The sequence below is a fragment of the Homo sapiens genome, chromosome 10, assembly GCF_000001405.40.
Source record: "Homo sapiens chromosome 10, GRCh38.p14 Primary Assembly".
NCBI lineage: Eukaryota > Metazoa > Chordata > Mammalia > Primates > Hominidae > Homo > Homo sapiens.
Window position 1 is genome coordinate 5,802,996 of NC_000010.11, and position 23,081 is coordinate 5,826,076.

At 44.2% G+C, this 23,081-nt stretch overlaps 1 protein-coding gene and 1 long non-coding RNA gene across 3 annotated transcripts in view, besides 11 other annotated features; both read right to left on the bottom strand.

The window, feature by feature from the left end:
* The window catches only part of GDI2 (GDP dissociation inhibitor 2), a 48,212-nt gene extending 37,773 nt beyond the window's left edge, over positions 1-10,439 (bottom strand). For both annotated transcript variants that reach the window (NM_001115156.2, NM_001494.4), the window contains exon 1: positions 10,219-10,439. In NM_001115156.2, the coding sequence (NP_001108628.1) occupies positions 10,219-10,263 (45 nt within the window). In that variant the 5' untranslated portion in view covers positions 10,264-10,439. The remainder of the gene's footprint in view (positions 1-10,218) is intronic.
* LOC124902367 (uncharacterized) lies at positions 96-10,202 on the bottom strand. Its single transcript, XR_007062041.1, has 2 exons — positions 9,320-10,202; positions 96-8,961 (listed from the first exon to the last, which is right to left on the bottom strand). It is a non-coding gene; the product is annotated as an uncharacterized LOC124902367 (long non-coding RNA).
* Positions 9,720-10,259: a silencer, noted in NCBI's record as "silent region_2086". NCBI's record gives its function as "represses an Ori minimal core promoter by ATAC-STARR-seq in GM12878 lymphoblastoid cells {active_cell/tissue: GM12878}" and the evidence as "EXISTENCE:reporter gene assay evidence [ECO:0000049][PMID:35858748]".
* Positions 9,720-10,453: a biological region, named in NCBI's record as "H3K27ac hESC enhancer GRCh37_chr10:5854819-5855411".
* Positions 9,861-10,453: an enhancer, noted in NCBI's record as "H3K27ac hESC enhancer chr10:5854819-5855411 (GRCh37/hg19 assembly coordinates)". NCBI's record gives its function as "activates a minimal SCP1, AML or CMV promoter by ChIP-STARR-seq in naive H9 embryonic stem cells {active_cell/tissue: H9 hESC(naive)}" and the evidence as "EXISTENCE:reporter gene assay evidence [ECO:0000049][PMID:30033119]".
* Positions 10,400-10,669: a silencer, noted in NCBI's record as "silent region_2087". NCBI's record gives its function as "represses an Ori minimal core promoter by ATAC-STARR-seq in GM12878 lymphoblastoid cells {active_cell/tissue: GM12878}" and the evidence as "EXISTENCE:reporter gene assay evidence [ECO:0000049][PMID:35858748]".
* Positions 10,400-11,046: a biological region, named in NCBI's record as "NANOG-H3K27ac-H3K4me1 hESC enhancer GRCh37_chr10:5855412-5856004".
* Positions 10,454-11,046: an enhancer, noted in NCBI's record as "NANOG-H3K27ac-H3K4me1 hESC enhancer chr10:5855412-5856004 (GRCh37/hg19 assembly coordinates)". NCBI's record gives its function as "activates a minimal SCP1, AML or CMV promoter by ChIP-STARR-seq in primed H9 embryonic stem cells {active_cell/tissue: H9 hESC(primed)}" and the evidence as "EXISTENCE:reporter gene assay evidence [ECO:0000049][PMID:30033119]".
* Positions 10,730-10,909: a silencer, noted in NCBI's record as "silent region_2088". NCBI's record gives its function as "represses an Ori minimal core promoter by ATAC-STARR-seq in GM12878 lymphoblastoid cells {active_cell/tissue: GM12878}" and the evidence as "EXISTENCE:reporter gene assay evidence [ECO:0000049][PMID:35858748]".
* Positions 11,110-11,209: an enhancer, noted in NCBI's record as "active region_2928". NCBI's record gives its function as "activates an Ori minimal core promoter by ATAC-STARR-seq in GM12878 lymphoblastoid cells {active_cell/tissue: GM12878}" and the evidence as "EXISTENCE:reporter gene assay evidence [ECO:0000049][PMID:35858748]".
* Positions 14,570-14,639: an enhancer, noted in NCBI's record as "active region_2929". NCBI's record gives its function as "activates an Ori minimal core promoter by ATAC-STARR-seq in GM12878 lymphoblastoid cells {active_cell/tissue: GM12878}" and the evidence as "EXISTENCE:reporter gene assay evidence [ECO:0000049][PMID:35858748]".
* Positions 14,660-14,779: an enhancer, noted in NCBI's record as "active region_2930". NCBI's record gives its function as "activates an Ori minimal core promoter by ATAC-STARR-seq in GM12878 lymphoblastoid cells {active_cell/tissue: GM12878}" and the evidence as "EXISTENCE:reporter gene assay evidence [ECO:0000049][PMID:35858748]".
* Positions 15,878-15,927: an enhancer, noted in NCBI's record as "active region_2931". NCBI's record gives its function as "activates an Ori minimal core promoter by ATAC-STARR-seq in GM12878 lymphoblastoid cells {active_cell/tissue: GM12878}" and the evidence as "EXISTENCE:reporter gene assay evidence [ECO:0000049][PMID:35858748]".

Below are 23,081 nucleotides of genomic sequence, written 5' to 3' on the forward strand. Positions count from 1 at the left end.
CTCCTCCCTTTTCCAATTACATGTCTGTGTGAGACCTGTTTTCATATACTTCAGCCTAGACAATATATCGCAACAGAACTGAACACAGAAGCATGTATGTGAATTCAGTTTTATTAAGCCAGACATTAAAGGATTTGCAGAAAACGTGAAATATTGATAGTCTTCTCACAATTTTGTTTTAGAAAATATACTCAGGCAGATGGCTTAAGCCCAGGAGTTGGATGGAGACCAGTCTGGGCAACAGGGCAAAACCCTATCTCTGCAAAAAATACAAAAATTAGCTGGGTGTGGTGGTGAGCACCTGTAGTCCCTGCTACTCAAGAGGCTGAGAGGTGGGAGGATTACTTGAACCCATGAGGGCAAAGGTGCAGTGAGCCGTGATAAGGCCACTGCACTTCAGCCTGGGTGACAAAGTGAGATCCTATCTCAATAACAAAAAAAAAGTACATATACAGTTAAAATTGTTATACATGTTAACATGTAATCGGTTTATTATTTGTCAGTGATTTATTTATTCCTCCATTTCTAATATGATAAATATCAATAGCTACAACCTTTATAAACAAAAGCTCAAGGTCCTGAATTTTTTAGCACGTGAACAGATCCTGAGACTAAAAAGTTTGAAAACTAGAGCCCTAAGCAAAGCATATAGGACAACCACCAATAAATTGACCATCAACCGAAAAGTATAAATGACCACTCTCAGGAAAAAGATAAAGCAAGCATGAATACACTAAGACAAACCAAATTAAGAAGAGGGAAAAAATTAATACAATTAATGTGAAGAAACACAGAGATGGGGCATATAATCACTCAAAAAGGGTTTGAGTGATCAGTGCTTTATTTCTTAAAGAGACAAAGGAAATTCCATGTATCTTTATAAATCTTTAATATTTCTCAAATTTATCCAAAGGACCCTAGATGTCAAAGAACAATCTTATTCTCTACAAGTCTATTTGACTTTGAAACCCGTATTTTTAAAATTCACACAAATTTCAAGTTTTCTTCCATAATATATCTATTCATTTAGTATTTCTTAAATGTCTTAAATTACTTACCATGAGGTTCAAATTTCACTATAGGAGTGTGAATCATTCTTTCTTTTTTTTTTTATTGAGATAGGAGTCTCACCCTGTTGCCCAGACTGGAGTGCAGTGGCGCGATCTTGGCTCAATGCAACCTTCACCTCCCAGGTTCAAGCTATTCTCCTGCCTCAGCCTCCTAAATAGCTGGGATTACAGGCATGCACCATCACGCCTGGCTAATTTTTGTATTTTTAGTAGAGATGGGGTTTCACCGTGTTGGCCAGGTTGGTCTTGAACTCCTGGCCTCAAGTGATCTGCCCACCTTGGCCTCCCAAAGTGCTGGGATTACAGGCATGAACCACTACGCCCAGCCTGAATCATTCTTTCTTTAGCTCAAGAAACAAAACATTCTGAGCACTCCAGAAGGCCCTCATGCCGTATTCCAATCATAACCACCACCATCCCCCAGCACTCTCATAATTTCTAATAGCAAAGATTTGTTCTGCCCGCTTCTGAACTCTAAAAATCTAATCATGTGTATTAACTTTCTGCGTCTGACATTATGCAACACGTTTTAAGATTCTTTCATGTTTTGTGCATGGTCTATTTATTATCATTGCTATAGAGCAAAGGTCCCCAGAGATGAGACAAATCCAGCCTGAAGGCTATTTCTGTGAAGTTTTATTGGTAAATACCCATATCTGTTCATGTACATACTGTTTATGGCTGTTTTCCTAGTACCACAGCAGAGTTGGGCAGCTGTGACAGAGACCAGAACGTCTACATAACCTAAAATATTTACTATCTGGAGCTTTTTTTTTTTTTTATTAAAGACAGAGTTTCTCTCTTGTTGCCCAGGCTGGAGTGCAATGGCACGATCTCAGCTCACCACAACCTCTGCCTCCTGGGTTCAAGCGATTCTCCTGCCTCGGCCTCCCAAGTAGCTGGGACTACAGGTGTGCGCCACCACGCCCAGCTAATTTTTGTATTTTTAGTACAGATGGGGTTTCACCATCTTGGACAGGCTGGTCTCAAACTCCTGACCTCATGATCCACCCGCATCAGCCTCCCAAAGTGCTGTGATTACAGGGGTGAGCCATGGCACCCGGCTACTATCGGGAGCTTTTCAGAGTGTATGGCTAACCCTGCAAGCAGGGCATCTCAGTGTGGTTCCTGACTTGGCATCACCTGCCAACTTGTTAGAAATGTAAATTCTACCCAGATTTCCAAACTTCAGGTTGTATCCAAATCACCTGGAGGGCTTGAAAACACAGACTGCTAGGCCCCATCTACAGAGCTTCTGAGTTAGTAGGTCTGAGGTTGGATCTGAGAATTTGCTCTTTAAAAAAAAAAAAAAAAAAAAAAAGGTTGGCAGGATGCAGACAGGGTCTCACTCCGTTGCCCAGCCTGGAGTGCAGTGGTGTGATCATGGCTCACTGCAGCCTCAACCTCCAGGCTCAAGAGATCCTCTAACCTCAGCCTCCTGAGAAGCTGGAACTACAGACATGTGCCACCACGCCTGCCAAATTTTTTAATTTTTTGTAGCAACAGGATATCACTATGTAGCCCAGCCTTGGCCTTGCAAAGCAAGGTTTGCTCAAGCAATCCTCCTGCCTTGTCCTCCCAAAGTGCTGGGATTACAGGTGTCAGCCACCACTGATGCTGATGAGGTGATACTGATGATGCTGGTCCAGGACCAATTTCAAGAATTACTAAAGCTGTGTTTGCAAATTTTATTATATATAAGAATAACCTGGAGATCCTGTTAAACTGTAGATTCTGATTCTGTGTAATATCCGAGTTGGGGCCTAAACTTCCGCATTTCTGGTAAATTCTCAGGTGTTGCAGATGCAGCTGATCTATGCAGCACACTTTGGGTAACACAGCTGTAGACGATTCCACTGAATGACTATACCACAATTTACTTCTCCATTTTACTCCTGGTGGATATTTGGATAGTTTCCAGTTTTTCACTATTACAAATAATGCTCTATCAACATTCTCGCATGTGTCTTCTAAGTGTGCATTTCTGTTATATATCAAGAAGAGTATAAATACATTCAACTTCAACAGATATTACCAAACAGCTTTCCAAAAACGGTTGTACCAATTTACACTTTTGTCCGCAGTGAGTCCCCACTGTTTCAAATCCTTGACCACTTACACTGTTGCCTTTTTAATTTTAGCCATTCTAGTTAAGAAGTGATTTAATTTGCATTTCCTGAGGACAAATAAGGTTGAACACTTTTTAAATAGTTGATTAATGATTAGGGACCGGGCATGGTGGCTCATGCCTATAATCTCAGCCCTTTGGGAGGCCAAGGTGGGAGAATCGCTTAAGCCCAGGTAACACAGTGAGACCCCCATCTCTACAAAAGAAAATTTAAAAAAAAAAAAACAAAAAAACGTTTACTGATGATCAAGCTAAGTGATAAGGCACTTATGATAAGTGCCTATTCAAAATTTTTCCCCATTTTTTAAATGGGCTTTTTCTCGCTGCTTTATAAAAGTACTTTATATACTATATATAAATCCTTTATTAGTTACATGTACTGCAATTATCTTCTTCCATTCTGTGGCCTGCCTTTTCACTTTCTTCATTATGTCTTCATAAAAGGAAATGAAGGTATTTTAACAACTACAAAAATCAACCCTAATACTGACTAAAACAATTTACTTTTGGGGGGTGGGGGAAGAAAACAACCTAAAGCAGCACCAACATATAGTTCCACATATGAAAATAAAATATTTACTATCTTAAAAATAAGTTATGACACAGCAGAGGAAGACAGTTACATTCCCAGCTGACAAAAGTAGACTGCAGACTTTTGAAAGCAAAATCTCAGCAAGCAAATTGGAGTGTTGCACAGCTTCTATATATAACCTTTCACACTAAGCATGACCCACTGGACTATGGCCGTAAAGCAAGCACTGAGGCCTAAAATAAAGGGCCCAGTAATTTAAAGATGTGGCCGAGTCCAAAGAGCTGACAGCAACTACCTTCAAAGGCACCACTTGGAGCAAATATGACAAGAGCTAACTAAAGCTAATAAAAAATCTGCAGGCCCACTAGTTCCTCTATACCCAACTATTATAAAAGACTGCTTCCACACTGCTAAAAGAATATATAATAGCACAAACATAATAAGCTTTGTTTTAAAACATGGGTGAAGTCATTAATTGATAGAATTTATCAGTCATATCTGGGCACAGTATATATTAATGATCCTAAAATTTTAATATTTTTCCAAAATTACCAGCTCAAAATTAAATTCTACTACAACCTATCTGATGAATACACAATATTCACAAGCAAAGCACATTAAAGCCATAAAAACTAAGCTTCTCTTTTTCACACTAGAAAAGCTGGTCCATCTATCATGTACATCAAGTAACTTTAACCACGAAACTTGTATGTGAATGAATATTCACCAACATGAGTTGTAAATGTAACAGGTAAGAGTACCCACTGTAACTTCAAACTCACCTACAAATGACCTAAGCAGGATAAGAATACATATTCACATCCAAAATCACTAAGACTATAAAACCATCTTCAGAATCCAAGTTCTGTATGACACTAGCATCTGCCACCCACCTGGCACTTGACGTTCTCCTACATAAAAACAGGTAACCAACCAAAATGGTTTTTAATATTTAATTGCACCAAAGTGCTAGTACGTGTAGATATGTGGATGTGGGGCTGGGGGACAGAACCATCAGCGATACTGACGTTCTCTTCCTTCAGCACCCTACACATACCACCAGAGTTGCAATCATCAAAAACAGAATAACTCATTTGGACAACACCCAAATATATTAGACAAAGCACCTGAAGAGGCTGAATGAAATTTCTATATATGAATTGTTACACCTACATGGTGTTTCCACGGCCAGTAACAATGGTATGCTGAAAAATTAATGCCCACTCCCCAACCCCGATTACAGAGCAATTTAGACTTGGAAGGGAATAGAGCCAAAATTTATTAATATTTTGATATACCTTCCTAGTGACAAACTAAACTCTATACCCTGGCTGGGCAAGGTGGCTCACGCCTGTAATCCTAACACTTTGGGAGGACGAGGCAGAAGAACTGCTTGAGCCCAGGAGTTTGAGACCAGCCTGGACAACATGGCAAAACCCCATTTCTACAAAAAATACCCAAACTACATGCCTCCTGTAGTTCCAGCTAACTTGGGAAGCTGAAGTGGGAGGATCATTTGAGCCTGGAAGGTTGAGGCTACAGTGAGCTGTGATCACACAACTGCACTCCAGCCTGGGTAAGAGACCGAGACCCTGTCTCAAAAACAAACAAACAAAAAATCCTCTACACCCTATCAAATCCTACTGCATTTTAAAGTTCTGTTATGGGCTGGGTGCGGTGGCTCTCGCCTGTAATCCCAGCACTTTGGGAGGCTGAGGCAGGCAGATCACCTGAGGTCAGGAGTTCAAAACCAGCCTGGCCAACATGGTGAAACCCCATCGCTACTAAACATACAAAAAAATTAGCCGGGCGTGGTGGTGAGCACCTGTAATTCCAACCACTTGGGAGCCTGAGGCAGGAGAATTACTTGAACCGGGGAGGCAGAGGTTGTAGTGAGCTGAGATTGAACCACCGCACTCCAGCCTGGGTAACAGAGAGCTCTGTCTCAGAAATAAAAAGTATTGTTGTTATTAAAAAAAAAAAAAAAAAAAAACTACAAATACACACACACACACACACACACAAATGTGATCAGGAGTACAAAGTATCTAATAACTAATATTAAAGTGCCTTTTCAAAACTACTTACCTAGAAACATGAGAAATTAACCAGAAAAATTTTAAATCAGTTCATTTCAATGGCAAGTATCTTACAGCAACATAATAAAAATGGCTGTTTTATGAAGAATGTTTCTTTAAATGACTCTGCCCCTCTAATGCATCTCATTAAAAACTGTCAGCCAGGCGCGGTGGCTCATGCCTATAATCCCAGCACTTTGGGAGGCCTAGGCGGGTGGATCACCTGAGGTTAGGAGTTCGAGACCAGCCTGATCAATATGGTGAAACCCCATCTCTACTAAAAATACAAATATTAGCTGGGCATGGTGGCAGGCACCTGTAATCCCAGCTACCCGGGAGGCTGAGACAGGAGAACTGCTTGAACCTGGGAAGCAGAGGTTGCGGTGAGCCGAGATCACATCACTGTACTCCAGCCTGGGCAACAGAGTGAGACTCCATCTCAAAAAAAAACAAAAAAAAAAACTGTCAAAAGATACCTTCTCTTGAAATGTGGCTAATTATATCACTCTCCTGCTCAAAGTCCTCTCTCACTGCCTTGAAGATAATTTTCACATTTCTTAGCCTAGAATCTCTCTCCAAAGCTTCTGTTTCAAGCAAAACAAACCACTCCCCATTCCCTACATACATCCTTGACTTAGCATTGACTTACACTGACTGCTCTCTGCCTAAAAAATCATTCCTCCATTCAAACCTTGCCAATATTTTTTTAAAGCCAGCTAAATATCTCCTTCTTTACGAAGGTTTTCCTGATTCCCTGACTGAACTCATATAAGTGCACCTCTTAGGGGACTTAATGCTTTCTCATACTAATTCTTATTAGTTACTCTCCAACACGAGAACAAGCTACTTATAGACAGGTTCTGTGTTTACCTTTTTACTGCCCATAACTGATCACAATAGTCACTGGGTTTAAATAACTGAAACTGAAACTATTACTCCAGTAAGAGTCTCCAATCAGGTACCATGGGAGGGAAGACAGAGGTAATTGCAGTGTATCACGCATGTGAACATCTACCAGTGGTCTTTAAAAACCAATGTCACACTATTGTCATCTCTACATGCTAAAATATGTCTAATTTCACTTATATTTTCTTTTGGCCAGGATGCTTAACGCTGGTTTAAACTGCCTACAACACAGCTCCCAAGTGTAACAGCATTTGCAAATATTGATCCTATGCTCACTACTGTAGTGAATAGAAAGTCCTTTGTCTACAGAACTCTAACACAGCTATAAGCAAGAACTCTCAAAGAGCAAATCAAAGATTAAGCAAATCCAAGAGGCAATCTGAATTTTAGTTCAGAATTTTAAAATCAAGTATAAAACCTTCTCTGAATCTGAAATCACAAAATTCTGATAAAGAGAAATGAGGAAAAGTATCTGGGATGTAAAGCAAGTTTTTAAACATATGATGCTGAGAATCATCTGGTATACATCACTAAAGTATATATTTCTATTCATAAATTCTTACTGTGTAGAACAAAAAATGGGAAGAAAAAAACCTCTGGGAAGCACAAACAGCTGTGGAACTAGTTACTCTTATTGTTTTAATCTACTATGTCTAACAAGACTCGTGAATTTATTTCCAAGTCCATAGTGAACTATGTGCAAATTATGTGGTGAGAGGCTGCCTACACATGCTGAAAGCAGAGAAAAGTAAATGTTGCCAGCCTAACAGTAAAGTAAGATAGAGGGAAAAAATATGAAGAGTAAACTGAAGAGCTCAAAAAGCATAGCAGCCTGAGAGTAAAGGGGGCAAAAGTTCCTACAAAGCTGGCGGGGTCTTCATGGCTTCACCATGTTACAGCATAACACAATAGTTAATCTTCACTATGTGAAAACTTGGTTATCAAGTAAATTATGTTTCTTAGTTTGTTAAAGAAGTTGTGACAGCATTTAGAAAGGCATTATCCAAAAGCTGTGCTCTTTAGAGATAACCTTTAGTTCCTCAGAAAATTCAATTGTGTGGAATATTCCATTTCTTTTACACACAGAATGAAGATTTTACTCCTTTATACCAAATCGTTTTGTATCTTCTTGATTAAGATAACTATCAATATTTGTGATTATGAGCTTAGACTTAACAACTCATACAAACAATGGCAGCACTAAGCAACACAGCAACTCCAGCACTTCCTTACACTTCTTTAAAAGTAACAAGTTCCTAACACTGAAAGTACTTGCCTTTTTTTAGGTTCTTAAGTCTCAGGCACTAAAGTAAATTTTAAGAAAATTAATTAACTCCAGACATTCAAAAGTTAATTCTGAGTGCTAACTTTGGTTTTCTCTTCTTCTAATTTTTAATCATCTAATTCCTGGTAACACTAAAAATAAGGATATATGATTTCTCATTATCAAAATCATCCTGTCATCACTACTCCTATCAATGATGGTAATAATGTGATTGTCCTGAATTGATATAATTATCAAAGAACATCTCAGAAAACTTAGGAAGGCTCACAGAGATTAAAGTTATCACAGCTACAAAATGACAGCAGAAACAGGTCTGATTTCTAGTTAAGTATGCATCTACCATTCATCAAAGAGTTCACAATCCGAATGAAAATTTAAACAAAGCTCATTATCTTAACTTGTTATATAAAAACACTTTCACCATCTTTGATACAAAGTGATGTGAACGAGGCTTGTGGAAGCCTGCATGATGGTGGATTTGCACTCACTCGTGCATGCTTAACTGACCTCAATTGTGAGCAAATCTGAAAGACCAGCAACAACCATAGAAAAACGGTGGAACTAACCGGCTCTTAAAACACGCTGGCAGCAACACTACCCATTCCAACAGGCAAAATCCACCACAAACTACTAAGCTCAGCTTGGAATCCCAATTAGGCACTTAAAAAAAAAAAAAAAAAAGCACAAAACCTGCAGTGGGTAGGGCCTATTCATTTAGGCATCCAACAGTCTTCCAGCTTTTCAAAGACAGACACAGGATTATTCCTGGATTGGTCAAACATAACGAAGTATTCAGAATGAATATTCTCTAATAATTGCATATAACTATAAACAGAAAAATGACAGACCAGAAAAACACGATTCTAATTCTTCACAAACCTTTCCTAAAAAATTAGCCAAATAAAAGTTCGAAGGTTTTCTCTTGCCTAGAGACATCTAAAAGTGTTATTTTGGGATGTTACCTGTAAAAAAAAAAAAAAAAATTGGTTTGACCCTGAGAGATTATAATAAATTTCAAAAAATTTGAAGTGGAAGTCTACATTAAATGACTCAGGAATTTGAAGTCAGAGTACATAGGATACACAAGATTTACATCAGTATTCATCTTAATTATGATCAAGCAGCCCAAAGTTAGAATTTCAAATTTCCCCAAAAATTGATAGTTAAAATGGTTTTCTCCAAAGTGAATTCTTTTGCAAGATGAACATTTAAAAAAAAAAAAAAAAGAACAGAAAAAGTACAAACTACAGAACCTGCCTGCGTTATCTACAGATTACCTAAAGTTCCCTTAGAAACAGATAACCAGGAAAATCAATATACCATGATATTAGGTACACCTTGCATTCATATATTACAATGCATTCTTCATGTTATTATCTTCCAACTCCCTGAAGAAAGCTTCGGAGTACAGAGAACTTGGCTTTTAGCAATCCATCACCAACCCAATTCTTAGGGGAAAACAGTCCAGAAGAGACAAAGGAGGCAGAGAACCCACCAAACAAAAGGAAAAGGCGGCGAAGGTCAGGTGCGAAAGCATTTGACGGACAAGTTTTGAAAAAACTCAATTCCAATTCTACAGATGCTCAGTAAGTGAGAAGGGAGGGTGGCTAAAAGGATTCAATAATACTTCTCATTAGCAGGGGGGAGAAAGGATTAAAAGACTAATTTCCACGTTTTCGCCAAAAATATAAGTTAATCAAGCCCTAGCAGTTCCGAAGCAGTGATTATCCAAGACTTGTCAGGAAACCCCGTACTCGGCTTTGGCAGCCAGACTGACCCGGGGCAGCGGCCGAGGCGGAATAGGAAATGCAACCGCGAGGCCTGCACCGTCCCCTCCGCCTCGGGTGCTGGTTTCCAACCGGGCGAGGTCACCGGCCCAAACCGGGGAGCGGGACCCTTGGCCCGGGCGGCCTTCTCCCCTCCCCTCCGCTTCCGCTGGGGGCAAGCGCAGAGGCCGGGCTCGGCCGTCACCCCGCCCCGAGCCTCACGGCCCGCATCTCCATTTCCCCGCCTGCCCCTCACACTGGGAGCCGCCCGCTCGCCCCGGGACGCGGGGCGCCCCTGAACCCGCCCGCGCCCCTAGCCACGACTCCCGTCCCGAAAACTACGGCTGACGGCAGAACGAGACCCCCGAGGAGCTGCGACCCGCGGGCCGTGCAGGAGCCGGGGGTGCGCCCGCCCCGGCTGCTCAGCCCCGGCCCCTCAGCCCTGGCGCCCACCGTCAGGCCGGTGCCCAGCACGATCACGTCGTACTCCTCATTCATGGCGGGGCAGGCGCGGACGCAGGACCCGAGCAAGGAAAAGGCGCAGGGGCTCCGTGACCACCCTACGAGGCTGGGAGGCGCTCTTGGGCGCGAAGGAAAGGGGAAGAGAAAGAGAGGAAAATGGAGCTGGCGACAAGGCGAGACCGACCGCCACCTCAGACGGGAAGAGAAGAACTGGGCGGGGAGAGGAGGGGAGGGAGCGAGGAGGGGAGGGCTGTGACTGAGCCTCCGCAGCCGGGGCGGGGCCTGCAGGCGCCGGGAGGGCCGCCAATCAGGCGCTCCCGGCACTCTAATTGGTTACGTCCCCGTCGCTCGCACAACTTTTTTTCCTTCCCCGCCTCTCGCGAGAGGAAAAGGGCGGGGCGTCGCCATTTTGGCTTCCGGTTCCCCTTGCGGCCTCTGCCACGGTGGTTCGGGAGGCGGCGCGCGGGCCGGGGTGGAGGTGCACGGAGCCGCGGGCGGGGACTGCTGGCCACCACCGTTCTGACTCCCGCCGTCGGGGCGGGAGCTCGCTCGGTCCAAGGTCCCAGAGCCGGATCGCCGCCCTTGGACTTTGAGCGGGCGCGTGCGGCGGCCACGTGGGCGAGGAGCGCGGGCCGGGCTGCCTCTCGGGGGTGGCGGCCTTGGTTCCTCCCGCGGGGCTGGGCTTGCCGGGGCCCGGAGCCCGCCGGGAAGAGTTCGGAAATCACACGTGTCCTTTTTCCCGCTCTGTGCCCTCCTTGTTTAGTGCGTTGCCGGTGGGCGCTTTAGGAAATTGGTAGGAGGAAAAGCGGCTTCTTTTGAAAAGGTAACCCTTAACAGAGATGAAAGTGAAAGCCAGGTTTCATTGGGAAGCCGATCTGCACCTACCGAGGGCTGTAACTTAAAGCCGCTGTAAACGTGGTAGCTGATCCTTGTATGCAAAGGTTTAGGCCCTAAGCTTAGAAACTGTTCCTTGCTTGCCTTCTACCCCGCTCCTCTTTTTCTAGAATTCTCTTAGGAATCTCTGGCTTCATTGAGGACACAGGTGTAAGCAGAAGCTGTGTTCTCAGCTCCAAGAGGCCGACCCCACGAAAGCCTAAGCAGGTGAATTTCGTAAAGACGTTGACAGTTGGAAAACCTGTGCTTTCAGCACGTGATAAATCTGCAGAGTCAGCAGACAATGAAGATTTGGCATTCAAGAACTCCTCAAATACTTCTCGATAGTAGCTATTCAGAGCCTGCCTTGATAGACCGAACTTGCTCATATTTAAATCATTAAGATAGAGGAAAGAATGTAACAACTTTTTAAAATGTTTCTTACCCCATAAATACTTGAAGAAGATATGTTATATTGGACCATGGATCTTTCTGGGGGGGAGGGGAGAAGAAAGCAAAAGTAAAGTTTAAATTTACATTCAACCTTAATTTGATTGTATATATTTGTGACCAAATGAATTAGTGCACAGTTGACCATACAACTGATTATGCAACAGTGAGTGTAACTGACTTTTCTTTTGGCTAAGCTAATGATGACTAAAGAAGGTCCTTCTGTTGCTCTGTCTTCAAGTCATCAGGGGGTCATACTACCTATATTTTTGAACCAATATGAAATAACCCTTTTTCTTTATTTTTCTGAGACAATCTCACCCTGTCGTCCAGGCTGGAGTGCAGCGGTGTAATCATGCCTCACTGCAGCCTTGATCTCCTGGGCTCAAGCCATCCTCCCACCTCAGTCTCCCCAGTAGCAGGGACAAGAGGTACAGGCCACCACACCTGACTATTGGCCCTTTTTTTTTTATTAGCAATAACAATAAAGAGCTTTTTTCACAATTGCCATCAGCCTCTGGCTCTTGAAGAGAAATTTAAGCATGTCAACTGAATTATGTTAACCATGTTTTAGGTGAAGACTATTTTATCGATACTCAAGAGTTGTGAGAAACTTGAAGACACTGAGATAAGGGAATTGAATTTAAGGCTAATAAGGATCCCTTCCTTACTTAACACTGAAGTTCATTTTAGTTCACAGTACAGGCCCTATGGCCCAACAGAAGGACAATAACAATCAAACCTGGACTAAGCCTTAACGGACTGAGTGCATCTAAAATGTTGTACCTGAGCCAGGCACAGTGCTTCACACCTGTAATCCTAACACTTTGGGAGGCTGAGATGGGAGGATCACTTGGGGCCAGGAGTGGGAGATGGGAGAATCACTTGGGACCAGCCTGTGCTGTAGAGCCTAGGTAACAGAGACACTGTCCCTATAAAAAAAATTAGCTGGAGGCCGGGCACGGTGATTGATGCCTGTAATCCCAGCACTTTGGGAGGCTGAGGTAGGCGGATCACAAGGTCAGGAGTTTGGAGTTTGAGACCAGCCTGGCCAATATGGTGAAACCCCATCTCTACTAAAAATACAAAAATTAGCCGGGCATGGTGGCACGTGCCTGTAGTCCCAGCTACCCGGGAAGCTGAGGCAGAGCAATCGCTTGAACCCGGGAGACGGAGGCTGAAGTGAGCCGAGATCGCGCCACTCCACTCCCGCCTGGGCAACAGAGTGAGACTCCGTCTCAAAAAAAAAAAAAAAAAAACTGGGCAGGCTGGGTGCAGTGGCTCACGCTTGTAATCCCAGCACTTTGGGAGGCCAAGGCGGGTGAATCACGAGGTCAGGAGTTCAAGACCAACCCGTCCCAAGATGGTGAAACCCCGTCTCTACGAAAACTACAAAAATTAGTTGGGCGTGGTGTCAGGCGTCTGTAATCCCAGCTACTCAGGAGTCTGAGGCAGAGAATTGCTTGAACCCAGGAGGCAGAGGTTGCAGTGAGCCAAGATCGTGCCACTGCACTCCAGCTTGGGTGACAAAGCGAGACTCAGTCTCAAAAAAAAAATCAGCTGGGCATGGTGGCATGAGCCTGCAGTCCTGGCTACTCAGGAGGCTGAGCTGGGAGGATCACTTGAGCCCAGGAAGGTCAAGCCATGATGATGCCACTGCACTCTAGCCTGGGCAACAGAGCAAAACCCTGTCTCAAAAAAAGAAAATTCTGTGCTTTTCTTGGATCTTCCACCCCACCCATTCCAGTTGCAAGGGAACTTGTAGATGACAAATACTGCTTAAGGTGAAGAGGCTTGAAAGCCACTAATTGGTTGAGTTGATCTCATGCCACAGATGGTAGTTCCTGCTACAGTGAAACCTTAGGTTTAGGGGAAGTAGGTTGGTTGGTGAAGATGAGTGGTAAACATCAATCTTTATTTTTAATTTTATTTTTTGGTGCCAAAACCCAAGATCAAACCAGGACACCATCAATCTTTAAAATATTTCAAATCTTGAAATCAGCCAGGTGTGGTGGCACATGCCTGTAGTCCCAGCTACTCGGGAGACAGGCAGGAGAATCAGTGGAACCCGAGAGGCTGAGGTTGCAGTCAGCCAAGATCGCGCCACTACACTCCAGCCTGAGTGACAGAGCCAGACTCCGTCTCAAAAAAAAAATAAAATAAAATATTTCAAACCTTTATGCAAAGCAGGAATCCATGGAGTCTTATTTATACTTGGGTACATGGGAATAATTGTTTGCTGATCTGTTTTTACTAAGCATCCATCTGCCCTTTGAAAAGGAGAGATTTAATCTAAGGAAAGAAAATGAGAGCGAACCTCAGCCCAGACCATCTTTTTCTCTCCTGCATCACTGTGGCAGTTTCTCAACAGGCTTTTTTCCCTCTCTTTTTCCTCTTCTCCTATCTGTTCTGTCCATTATCTTCTAAAAACACGCATCAGATCATGTTCAGGCTTCTGTATATCTTTTGTACTTAGAATACATTGTAGATCCTAGCCAGGCATGGTGGCTAACGCCTGTAATCCCAGTGCTTTGGGAGGCTGAGGCAGATCACCTGAGGTCAGGAGTTCGAGACCAGCCTGACCAACATGGTGAAACCCCGTCTCTACTAAAAATACAAAAATTAGCCTGGTGTGGTGGTGCACATCTGTAATTCCAGCTACTCAGGAGGCTGAGGCAGGAGAATTGCTGGAACCTGGGAGGCAGAGGTTGCAGTGAGCCAAGATGGCGCCACTGCACTCCAGCCCGGGAGACAGAGCAAGACTCCATCTCAAAAAAAAAAAAAAAAAAAAAAGGGATACATTGTAAATCCTTAAATATGACCTAATACCTTAATCTAGCCTCTGTATGTCTCTCCAACTCTATTTTTTAGTGCTCCTTGGCTCCTTGATCATTAAACCCCAAACATGCATGTGTTTCGGTTCCTAGAATCTGGTCAAGCTTTCAACCACCCGAGGGCCTTTGTACTCTTGGTTCCATGGCTACCACCCCTCACTTCCCCCTGCACTTCTTCATACAGCTAACTTTTTCCACTTCCTTAGGTCTCAGCTTTCCCCTCAACCATCATTCTCTATCAGTACCCTGCTTGTTTCTCACTGCTCTTATTAGAGGGGGTAATTATTTTCTTCACTTGTTCTTTGCTTTTCAAATTGGATGTAAACTCCATAGGGGCAGGGATATGAAGCCTGGACAGCCAGTAAAGGGCTGAGCAACTAGTAGAGGATGAGTAAATATTTGACAAATGAATAGGGGACTTGGAAGTTGAGCCCTAGATCAACAAGGACTGAATATGATGATATTGGTACTAGTTTCCTTTTTTCTTTTTTAAGACAGGGTCTCACTCTGTTGCCCAGGCCAGAGTGCAGTGGCACAACCATAGCTCTGTGCAGCCTCAGCCTCCCGGGCTGAAGTGATCCTCCCTCCGCAGCCTCCTGAGTAGCTAGGAGTACAGGCATGTGCCCACCATGCTCAGCTAATTTTTGTATTTTTGGTAGAGATGGAGTGTCACCTTGTTGCCCAGACTAGTCTTGAATTCCTGGGCTCAAGCAGTCTGCCCACCACAACCTCCGTAGGTGCTGTGGTTACTGGTGTGAGCCACCACGCCAGGCCCCAGTTCCTCTTGATACTTTGGAGAAATACAACTTTTCTTCTAGGAAGAGATATTAAAACTAATATTTTAAAGAGTCTTAGAGATAGGTATCTATAAAACATAAACCTGTGTAAAACCTGGATAGCTAATGCTGCAGAGGGAACATAGTGGGATCTCTAGAAAGGAATTTTAATATAGTTCCAAAAATATATATTTCCTAGCTTATGATCATTCACCCAGAACCATCCCCTAAAAACTGTTTGTCTGCTCCCAGTCTTTATTTTATTTATTTATTTATTTATTTTTGAGACAGAGTTTTTCTCTTGTCGCCCAGGATGGAGTGCAATGGCAGGATCTTGGCTCACTGCAACCTCCGCTTCCCGGGTTCAAGTGATTCTTCTGCCTCAGCCTCCCGAGTAGCTGGGATTACAGGCGCCAGCTACCATGGCCAGCTAATTTTTATATTTTTAGTAGAGACAGGATTTCACCATGTTGTCCAGGCTGGTCTTGAACTCCTGGCCTCAAGTGATCCGCCCACCTCAGCCTCCCAGAGTGCTGGCATTACAGGTGGGAGCACAGCACCCAGCCCTACTTCCAGTCTTTATTTCTGCTCAAACCAGAATTCTAGATATCATCCTTGGTTCTGCTGTCTCTCTCTCCTTCCACATCTATTCTGGTTTTCTATTCTAGTGTACAAACCACCCCCAAAATTTAGTGGCTTAAGTTGAAAAAAAAAATAGCAGCTTAAAAAAAAAACATATTATTATCTCTTACGGATCGAATGGGTCACCCAGGTGGTAATTGCCTGGGCTTTCAGATGGCTTCAGTTAGTGGCTGGGCTGCAGTCATCTGAAGGTTTTACTGGACTGGACATCCAAGATGGCACAACCACGTGGCTGACAGCTGAGGCTGGCCATCGGCTGGGAGCTCAGCTGGGGCTGTCAACCAGAGCAGCTATGCGTGGCCTCTCTGTTTGGCTTGCACTTCTCAGAGTGGTTGTGTTGAAAGAAACAAGAAGTGGAAGTTGCTTGTCTCTTAAGGCCTGGGCCCAGAAACTGGCCCAGAGTCACTTCTGTCTTGTTCTGTTTGTCAGTGCAATCACAGAGCACACCAAAATTCAGATGGAAGAACTGTAGAGCCTGTCTCTCCGTTGGAAGAGTATTAATAAATTGGTAGCCATCTTTTTTTTTTTTTGAGATGGAGTCTTGCTCTGTTGTCCAGGTTGGAGTGCAGTGGCACAATCTCGGCTCACTGCAACCTCCTTCTCCCAAGTTCAAGCAATTCTCGTGCCTCAGCCTCCTGAGTAGCTGGGATTACAGGCACACACCACCACACCCAGCTAATGTTTATATTTTTAGTAGAGATGGGGTTTCACCATGTTGGCCAGGCTGGTCTCAAACTCCTAACCTCAAGTGATCTGCCAGCCGCAGCCTCCCAAAGTGGTGAGATTACAGGCGTGAGCCACCATGTCCAGTGGTAGCCATCTTTAATCTGCCACAGTACCCCATTAAATTTTGGCCATTCCACCTCATAAAAATCCTTCCAGTCCCTTCTCTTCAACCTCACTGCCACAACCCGAGTGCAGACCAGCAAGTTCTCTCCTAGATCCTGGCCCCAGCTTCCTATTGGGACATTTGGTGTTCAGTTCAGGTGGCTCAAACCTGTTCTCTGTATTATAGCTCAAGTGATCTTTATAAAAATCAAAAGTGACCAAGTTGACCATGTCTTTAAGATCTTTCATGGGTCTCCACTGCTGTTAGGATAAAGTCCATACACCTGGTCGTTTCCTAACATGAACTTGAGTGAATTACCTATTCCACCAAATCTCTCACTGCAACCCTCTTCCACCCCTCACCATGTTCATTTTTTTCTTTTTCTTTTTTTTGAGATGGGGTTTCACTATGTTTTCCAGGCTGGCCTTGAACTCCTGGGCTTAAGTGATCCTCCCACCTCAGCCTCCCAAGTAGCTGGAACTACTCATCATAGTTTCTGATTCAGTTGCTGTATTAGTCAGCATCCAGTCAGAAAGACATGAACTACTTTAAGTATTTTACACAGAGATAATGTAGGGAATTGATTTCAAAACTGTTGAAAGAGCTGGAGTGGCAAAAAATAACATTGCCCACAGATGTAGAACTACCTGAAACTCTAGGCTGAAGCAAGAGGGAAACTGCTGTTGCCCTGCGCTTGTGTTTCCCAATGATTTGTGCTGCTGAGGCCAGTGGAACCTGAAGTCATCCACCACCATTACTGCCACTGCCAGAGTCCTTCTGTCTCTGAAGCTACTGAAGTGACTCCTGCCACAGCTATTGCTGGGCCCCGGGGTCCCCACTCATTGGGGTGGCTACTACCACTGGTGGCAGTGCCACCAAAGCAGGGGACTTAGTGTCTCTCCTCCTCCTGGCTCCAGTCTTCCACCAGTACCTTCCATTGGCAGCACCTAGCCAGAAGCCAGTTAGCAAAGGGATCTGGGAAATGTGTTTTGCAGGCTCTCAGTCCCAGATATACAGACGAAACCAAGAATGGAGCTGGGAACTAACAGACCAATGACTGGCTGGGCTACACCAAACATTTCTGTGTTCCATGCACCTGCCATGCTCTTTCCCTTCTGCATGCTTTTCCCCTCTGTCTGGAATGTACCCACCCCTGCCCCCATCCTTCGGGTGGGCCTTGCTTTCTCCTACTTGCTTGAAGTCTCAGTATACATGTCACAGCCCCCAGGGATCTTTCCTGGATCCCCTAATCTGGATGAAATTCCTTTATGCCGGGTTCCCATAGTATTCTCTTACCATGTATCACCCTGGCTTGTAACTGGGTGTTTGCTGCTCTGGGGTAGAACTCTACATTATTCATCTTTTTTTTTTTTTCCATCACCATCTAGCTCAGAGTAGGCAGTTAATAAGTATTTAGTGGGCCGGAAACAGTAGCTCACACCTGCAATCCCAGCACTTTCAGAGGCCAAGGCAGGCAGATCACCTGAGGTCAGGAATTTGAGACCGGCCTGGCCAATAGGGTGAAACCCCATCTCTACTAAAAATACAAAAAATTACTCAGGTGCAGTGGTGTACCCCTGTAGTCTCAGCTACTTGAGAGGCTGAGGCACGAGAATCGCTTGAACCCAGGAGGCGGAGGTTGCAGTGAACCAAGATCGTGCCACTGCACTCCAGCCTGGGTGACAGAGCAAGACTCTGTCTCAAAAAAAAAAAAAAAAAAAAAAAGAAAAAGAAAAAGAAAAAGTATTTAATGCAGGGGTTCCTAACTCGAGTATAATTGTACTGGATGGGCATTATTTTCAGAGACAGGCTCCATTGTCCCAAAAGGGTCAATGACTCCGAAATGATTAAGAAAACATACATGTAGACAAATGAATTCATTCACAATATTTCTTCAATTTAGATAAAGGAAAAAATAACTTGTGGGAAAAAATTGAGTATCAAAGACCATTTCCAGGAGTTGCTCTGAACCTATTCTGGTTCAGGAGGCTGCCTGATAAATTTTTTTACACTTGAATTTTTTTTTTTTTAAAGACCATTTCCAGTGGCTTGCAGTTCTAGTCCACTTATGTTGTTATGAAGGAACACCTGAAGCTGGGTAATTTATAAAGAAAAGAGGTTTATTTGGCTCATGGTTCTACAGGCTGTACAAGAAACATGGCACCAGCATTTGCTTCTGGTGAAGCCTCAGGAAGCTTCCACTCCTGGGAGAAGGCAAAGGGGTGCCATGTGCAGAGATCACATAGTGAGAGAGGAAGGAAGGGAAAGACAAAGGTGCCAGTCTCTTTTCAACAACCAGTTCTTGCAGGAACTAATAACAAGAACTCATTCATGATCGTGAGGACGGCCCTGAGACATGCATGATGGATCTGTTCCCACAATCCAAAAACACCTCCCACCAGGCCCCACTTCCAACACTGGGGACCAAATTTCCACATGAGATTTGGAGGGGACAAATATCCAAACTATATTATTTGCCATAGAACACAACGTTTATTGAATTTCTGTACGTGGGGGAATGAAATCAGCACCTAACCTGATATACACATGGAAATAGAAAATACAATTCCAATAGAAATCACTTGGAAGTGTGTAATTAGTAGCAGCTCTGTGAGGCGCTTTGTATAGAAGGACTCGGAGTTGGTGGCATTGAGTGGGGCTTGTGCATAGTGGCAGAGCAAGTCAGCCAGGTGTCCTGATTCCCAAAAGGCTGGTAAGCATGGTGCAGGCATGTCTTACATGCATTTGCTCTTCAAAAAGCTTCAACTCATTCTAGCACGACTATCATGGATAAGCAATGACCACTGACTATTTCATTTAATTTCTTTGTATCATCTTAAAGACTAGAGTGATCTCTAAGCTGCCCAGGCCTTAGTGTTTCTTAGGTCACTTTAGTCATTCACTTGAATACTTCTTGTGTTAATTAAAGTGATTTTGGGCCAGGCGCCGTGGTTCACGCCTGTAATCCCAGCATTCTGGGAGGCCAAGGTGGGCAGATCACCTGAGGTCAGGAATTCAAGACCAACCTGGCTAACATGGTGAAACCCCGTCTCTACTAAAAATACAAAAATTAGGCCTGCATGGTGGCGGGCGCCTGTAGTCCTAGCCACTCGGAAGGCTGAGGCAGGAGAATCACTTGAACCCAGGAGGTGGAGGTTGCAGTGAGCTGAGATCATGCCACTGCACTCCAGCCTGGGCGACAGAACAAGACTCCGTCTCTAAATAAACAAACAAACAAATAAATAGATAAATAAAGTGATTTTGATTACAAGTTAACTAAAACCACATCCAGCTATCTTAGGTATAAAGGACAATTTATTAGAAGAATAAAGGGGCAAAAATGTAGTCCGGTCTCTGGAAGGAACTGGAATCAGGCACTAGAAAACTCGCTGTGTCTAAGCTCAGCCCCTCTGTGCAACTTCTTGATTTTTTTCTCTCTCTATGGTTGACTTTGTTGGCTTCCCTTGCTCAAACCTAGAGCTCAAACCTAGAGCCAAGTCTCTCAGCCTCACACAATTGACATTTTAGGCCAGGTCATTCTTTGTCGTGGGGCTGTCCTGCGCATTGTAGGGTGTTTAGCAGCACCTCTGGCCTCTACCCACTGGATGCCAGTAGCAGCCACTCTACTTCACCTCCAAGTCGTGAAAATCGTCATGGCTCCAGACATTGCCAGTGTCCCCTGTGGGCAAAAATTGCCTTTGGTGGAGAACCACTGAGCTAGACTAGCTTGGTTTTCATCATTCAGTATCAAATTTCCAGAGGAGATAATCTGATTGGCCCAACTTGGGGCCTGCATCCAACTTGATTCAATTAATCAGTCCGGTATTAACAGTATTATGTGACAGAAATATGGCTGCCGGAAATCCACGCCTGTGGAAAGGATGGACAGATACCCTAATACAGGTGTCAGTTCCATGTCCTTAATCCTAGACATGAAGCTTTCTATCCTGATTCTATGTACCCTGACTCTTGGGTGGTTTAGGGGACATTTTCCCAGAGATGTATTTAGGATATCTACATACCTTTAAAAAAATTTAATCCAGGCCAGACATGGTGGCTCATGCCTGCAATCCCAGCACTTTAGAAGGCCGAGGTGGGTGGGTCACTTGAGGTCAGGAGTTCGAAATCAGCCTGGCCAACATGGTGAAACCCCGTCTCTACCAAAAATACAAACATTAGCCGGGCTTTGTGGTGAGTGCCTGTAATCCCAGTTACTCGGGACGCTGAGGCAGGAGAATTGAGAATTGCTTGAGTCCAGGAGGTGGAGGTTGCAGTGAGTACAGATCCTGCCACTGCACTCCAGCCTGGGCAACAGGACGAGACTCTGTCTCAAAAAAAAAAAAAAAAAAAAAAAAAATTTAATCCAGCTGGGCGCGTTGGCTCATGCCTGTAATCCCAGCACTTTGGGAGGCCAAGGCAGGCGGATCATGAGGTCAGGAGTTCAGTACCAGGCTGGCCAACATGGTGAAACCCCGTCTCTACTAAAAATACAAAAAAAAAATAGCTGGGCAGGGTGGCAGGCACCTGTAATCCCAGCTACTCGGGAGGCTGAGGCAGGAGAATCACTTGAAACCAGAAGGCGGAGGTTGCAGTGAGCCGAGATAGCGCCCCTGCACTCCAGCCTGGGCGAAAGAGCGAAACTCTGTCTCAAAAAAAAAAAAAAAAAAATTTAATCTTACATAAGCAGAAGATGAGAAGACAATTTTTAATTGAAAATCTTCCACTATAAGGGCTTTAAACTGAAAATATGCAATTTTTAAATGTATTTGTTTGACACTGTGTTATCATGTCTCCTCTGTGCCAGGTGCTGGGCTAGGCCTTTCTGAACTAGGAGAATTGGGCCCTGTCTTCACAGAGGTTCTGTTTCATGGTTAGGACAGGTTATCTTCCACATACCCTACTTTGGATTGATACATTTTCAAAGCCATTTTACCTTCGATAGCTAATTATTATTTTTTATGTAAAAATATTAAAATCAGGCCAGGTGCAGTGCCTCACGCCTGTAATCCCAGCACTTTGGGAGGCCAAGGTGGGCGGATCACTTGAGGTCAGCAGTTCGAGACAAAAAATTAGCCGGGCATAGTGGCGCATGCCTATAATCCCAGCTACTCGGGAGGCTGAGGCAGGAGAATCACTTGAACCCGGGAGGCGGAAGTTGCAGTGAGCCGAGATTGCACCACTGCACTCCAGCCTGGGCAACAGAGCGAGACTCAGTCTCAAAAAAAAAAATCTTAAAATCAGGTCAAGTGCAGTAGCGCATGCCTATAATCCCAGCACTCTGGGAGGCCAAGGTGGGTGGATCACCGAGCCCAGAAGTTCAAGACCAGCCTGGGCAACATGATGAAACCTCGTCTCTACAAAAAATACAAAAATTAGCCGGGTGTGGTGGCTGAGTTGGAAAGATCACTTGAGGATGGCATGAGCCTTGGAGGTGGAGGTTGCAGTGAACCAAGATCACCGCACCCCAGCCTGGGTGACAGAGTAAGGCCCTGGCTTAAAAAAAAAAAAAAAAAAGTTAAAATCAGTCCTCTTCTTTGTAACAATATAGTGTTATCTGCTTGTCTAAACTGAATGCTAGTCTTGTTGTTCTTATCAGTAGTTGGTGAACAAATGCGCCTGTTTTACTGGAATAGTCACAGTTTTGATCACTGAATCTCACCTGCTCATAGCTGTGGAAAAAAAATCCCAGGGTGAGTCTCGACTCATGTTAGAAATTAACAACAAAGTATTAGAAAGGACATTTTGTCTTTTCCCAGATAACAGAAAAGCAAGTTTTTGCATTAGGCAGCAAATAAGGACTCGCTCTGCAGTGAGGGTTATATAGCACGACCCTGTTAGGTTGAAAACAAGATGGCTCCGAGCAGGCACAGTGGCTCACGCCTGTAACCCCAGCACTTTGGGAGGCCGAGCTGGGTGGATCACAAGGTCAAGAGATGGAGACCATCCTGGCCAACATGGTGAAACCCCATCTCTACTAAAACTACAAAAATTAGTTGGGCGTAGTGGCGTGTGCCTGCAGTCCCAGCTACTCGGGAGGCTGAGGCAGGAGAATCGCTTGAACCCAGGAGGTAGAGGTTGCAGTGAGCCAAGATCGTGCCACTGCACCCCAGGCTGGGTGACAGAGCAAGACCCCATCTCAAAAAAAAAAAAAAAAAAAAGAATGAATAAAAAAAAAAGAAAAGATGGCTCAATAGAAACTAATCTTTCCAGGCCAGGCGCAGTGGCTCACGCCTGTAAGCCCAGCACTTTGGGAGGCCAAGGCGGGTGGATCACGAGGTCAGGAGTTCGAGACCAGCCTGGCCAACATGGTGAAACTCCATCTCTACTAAAAATACAAAAATTAGCCAGGTGTGATGGTGCATGCCTATAATCCCAGCTACTCAGGAGGTTGAGGCAGGAGAATCGCTTGAACTGAACCTGGGAGGCGGAGGTTGCAGTGAGCCGAGATGG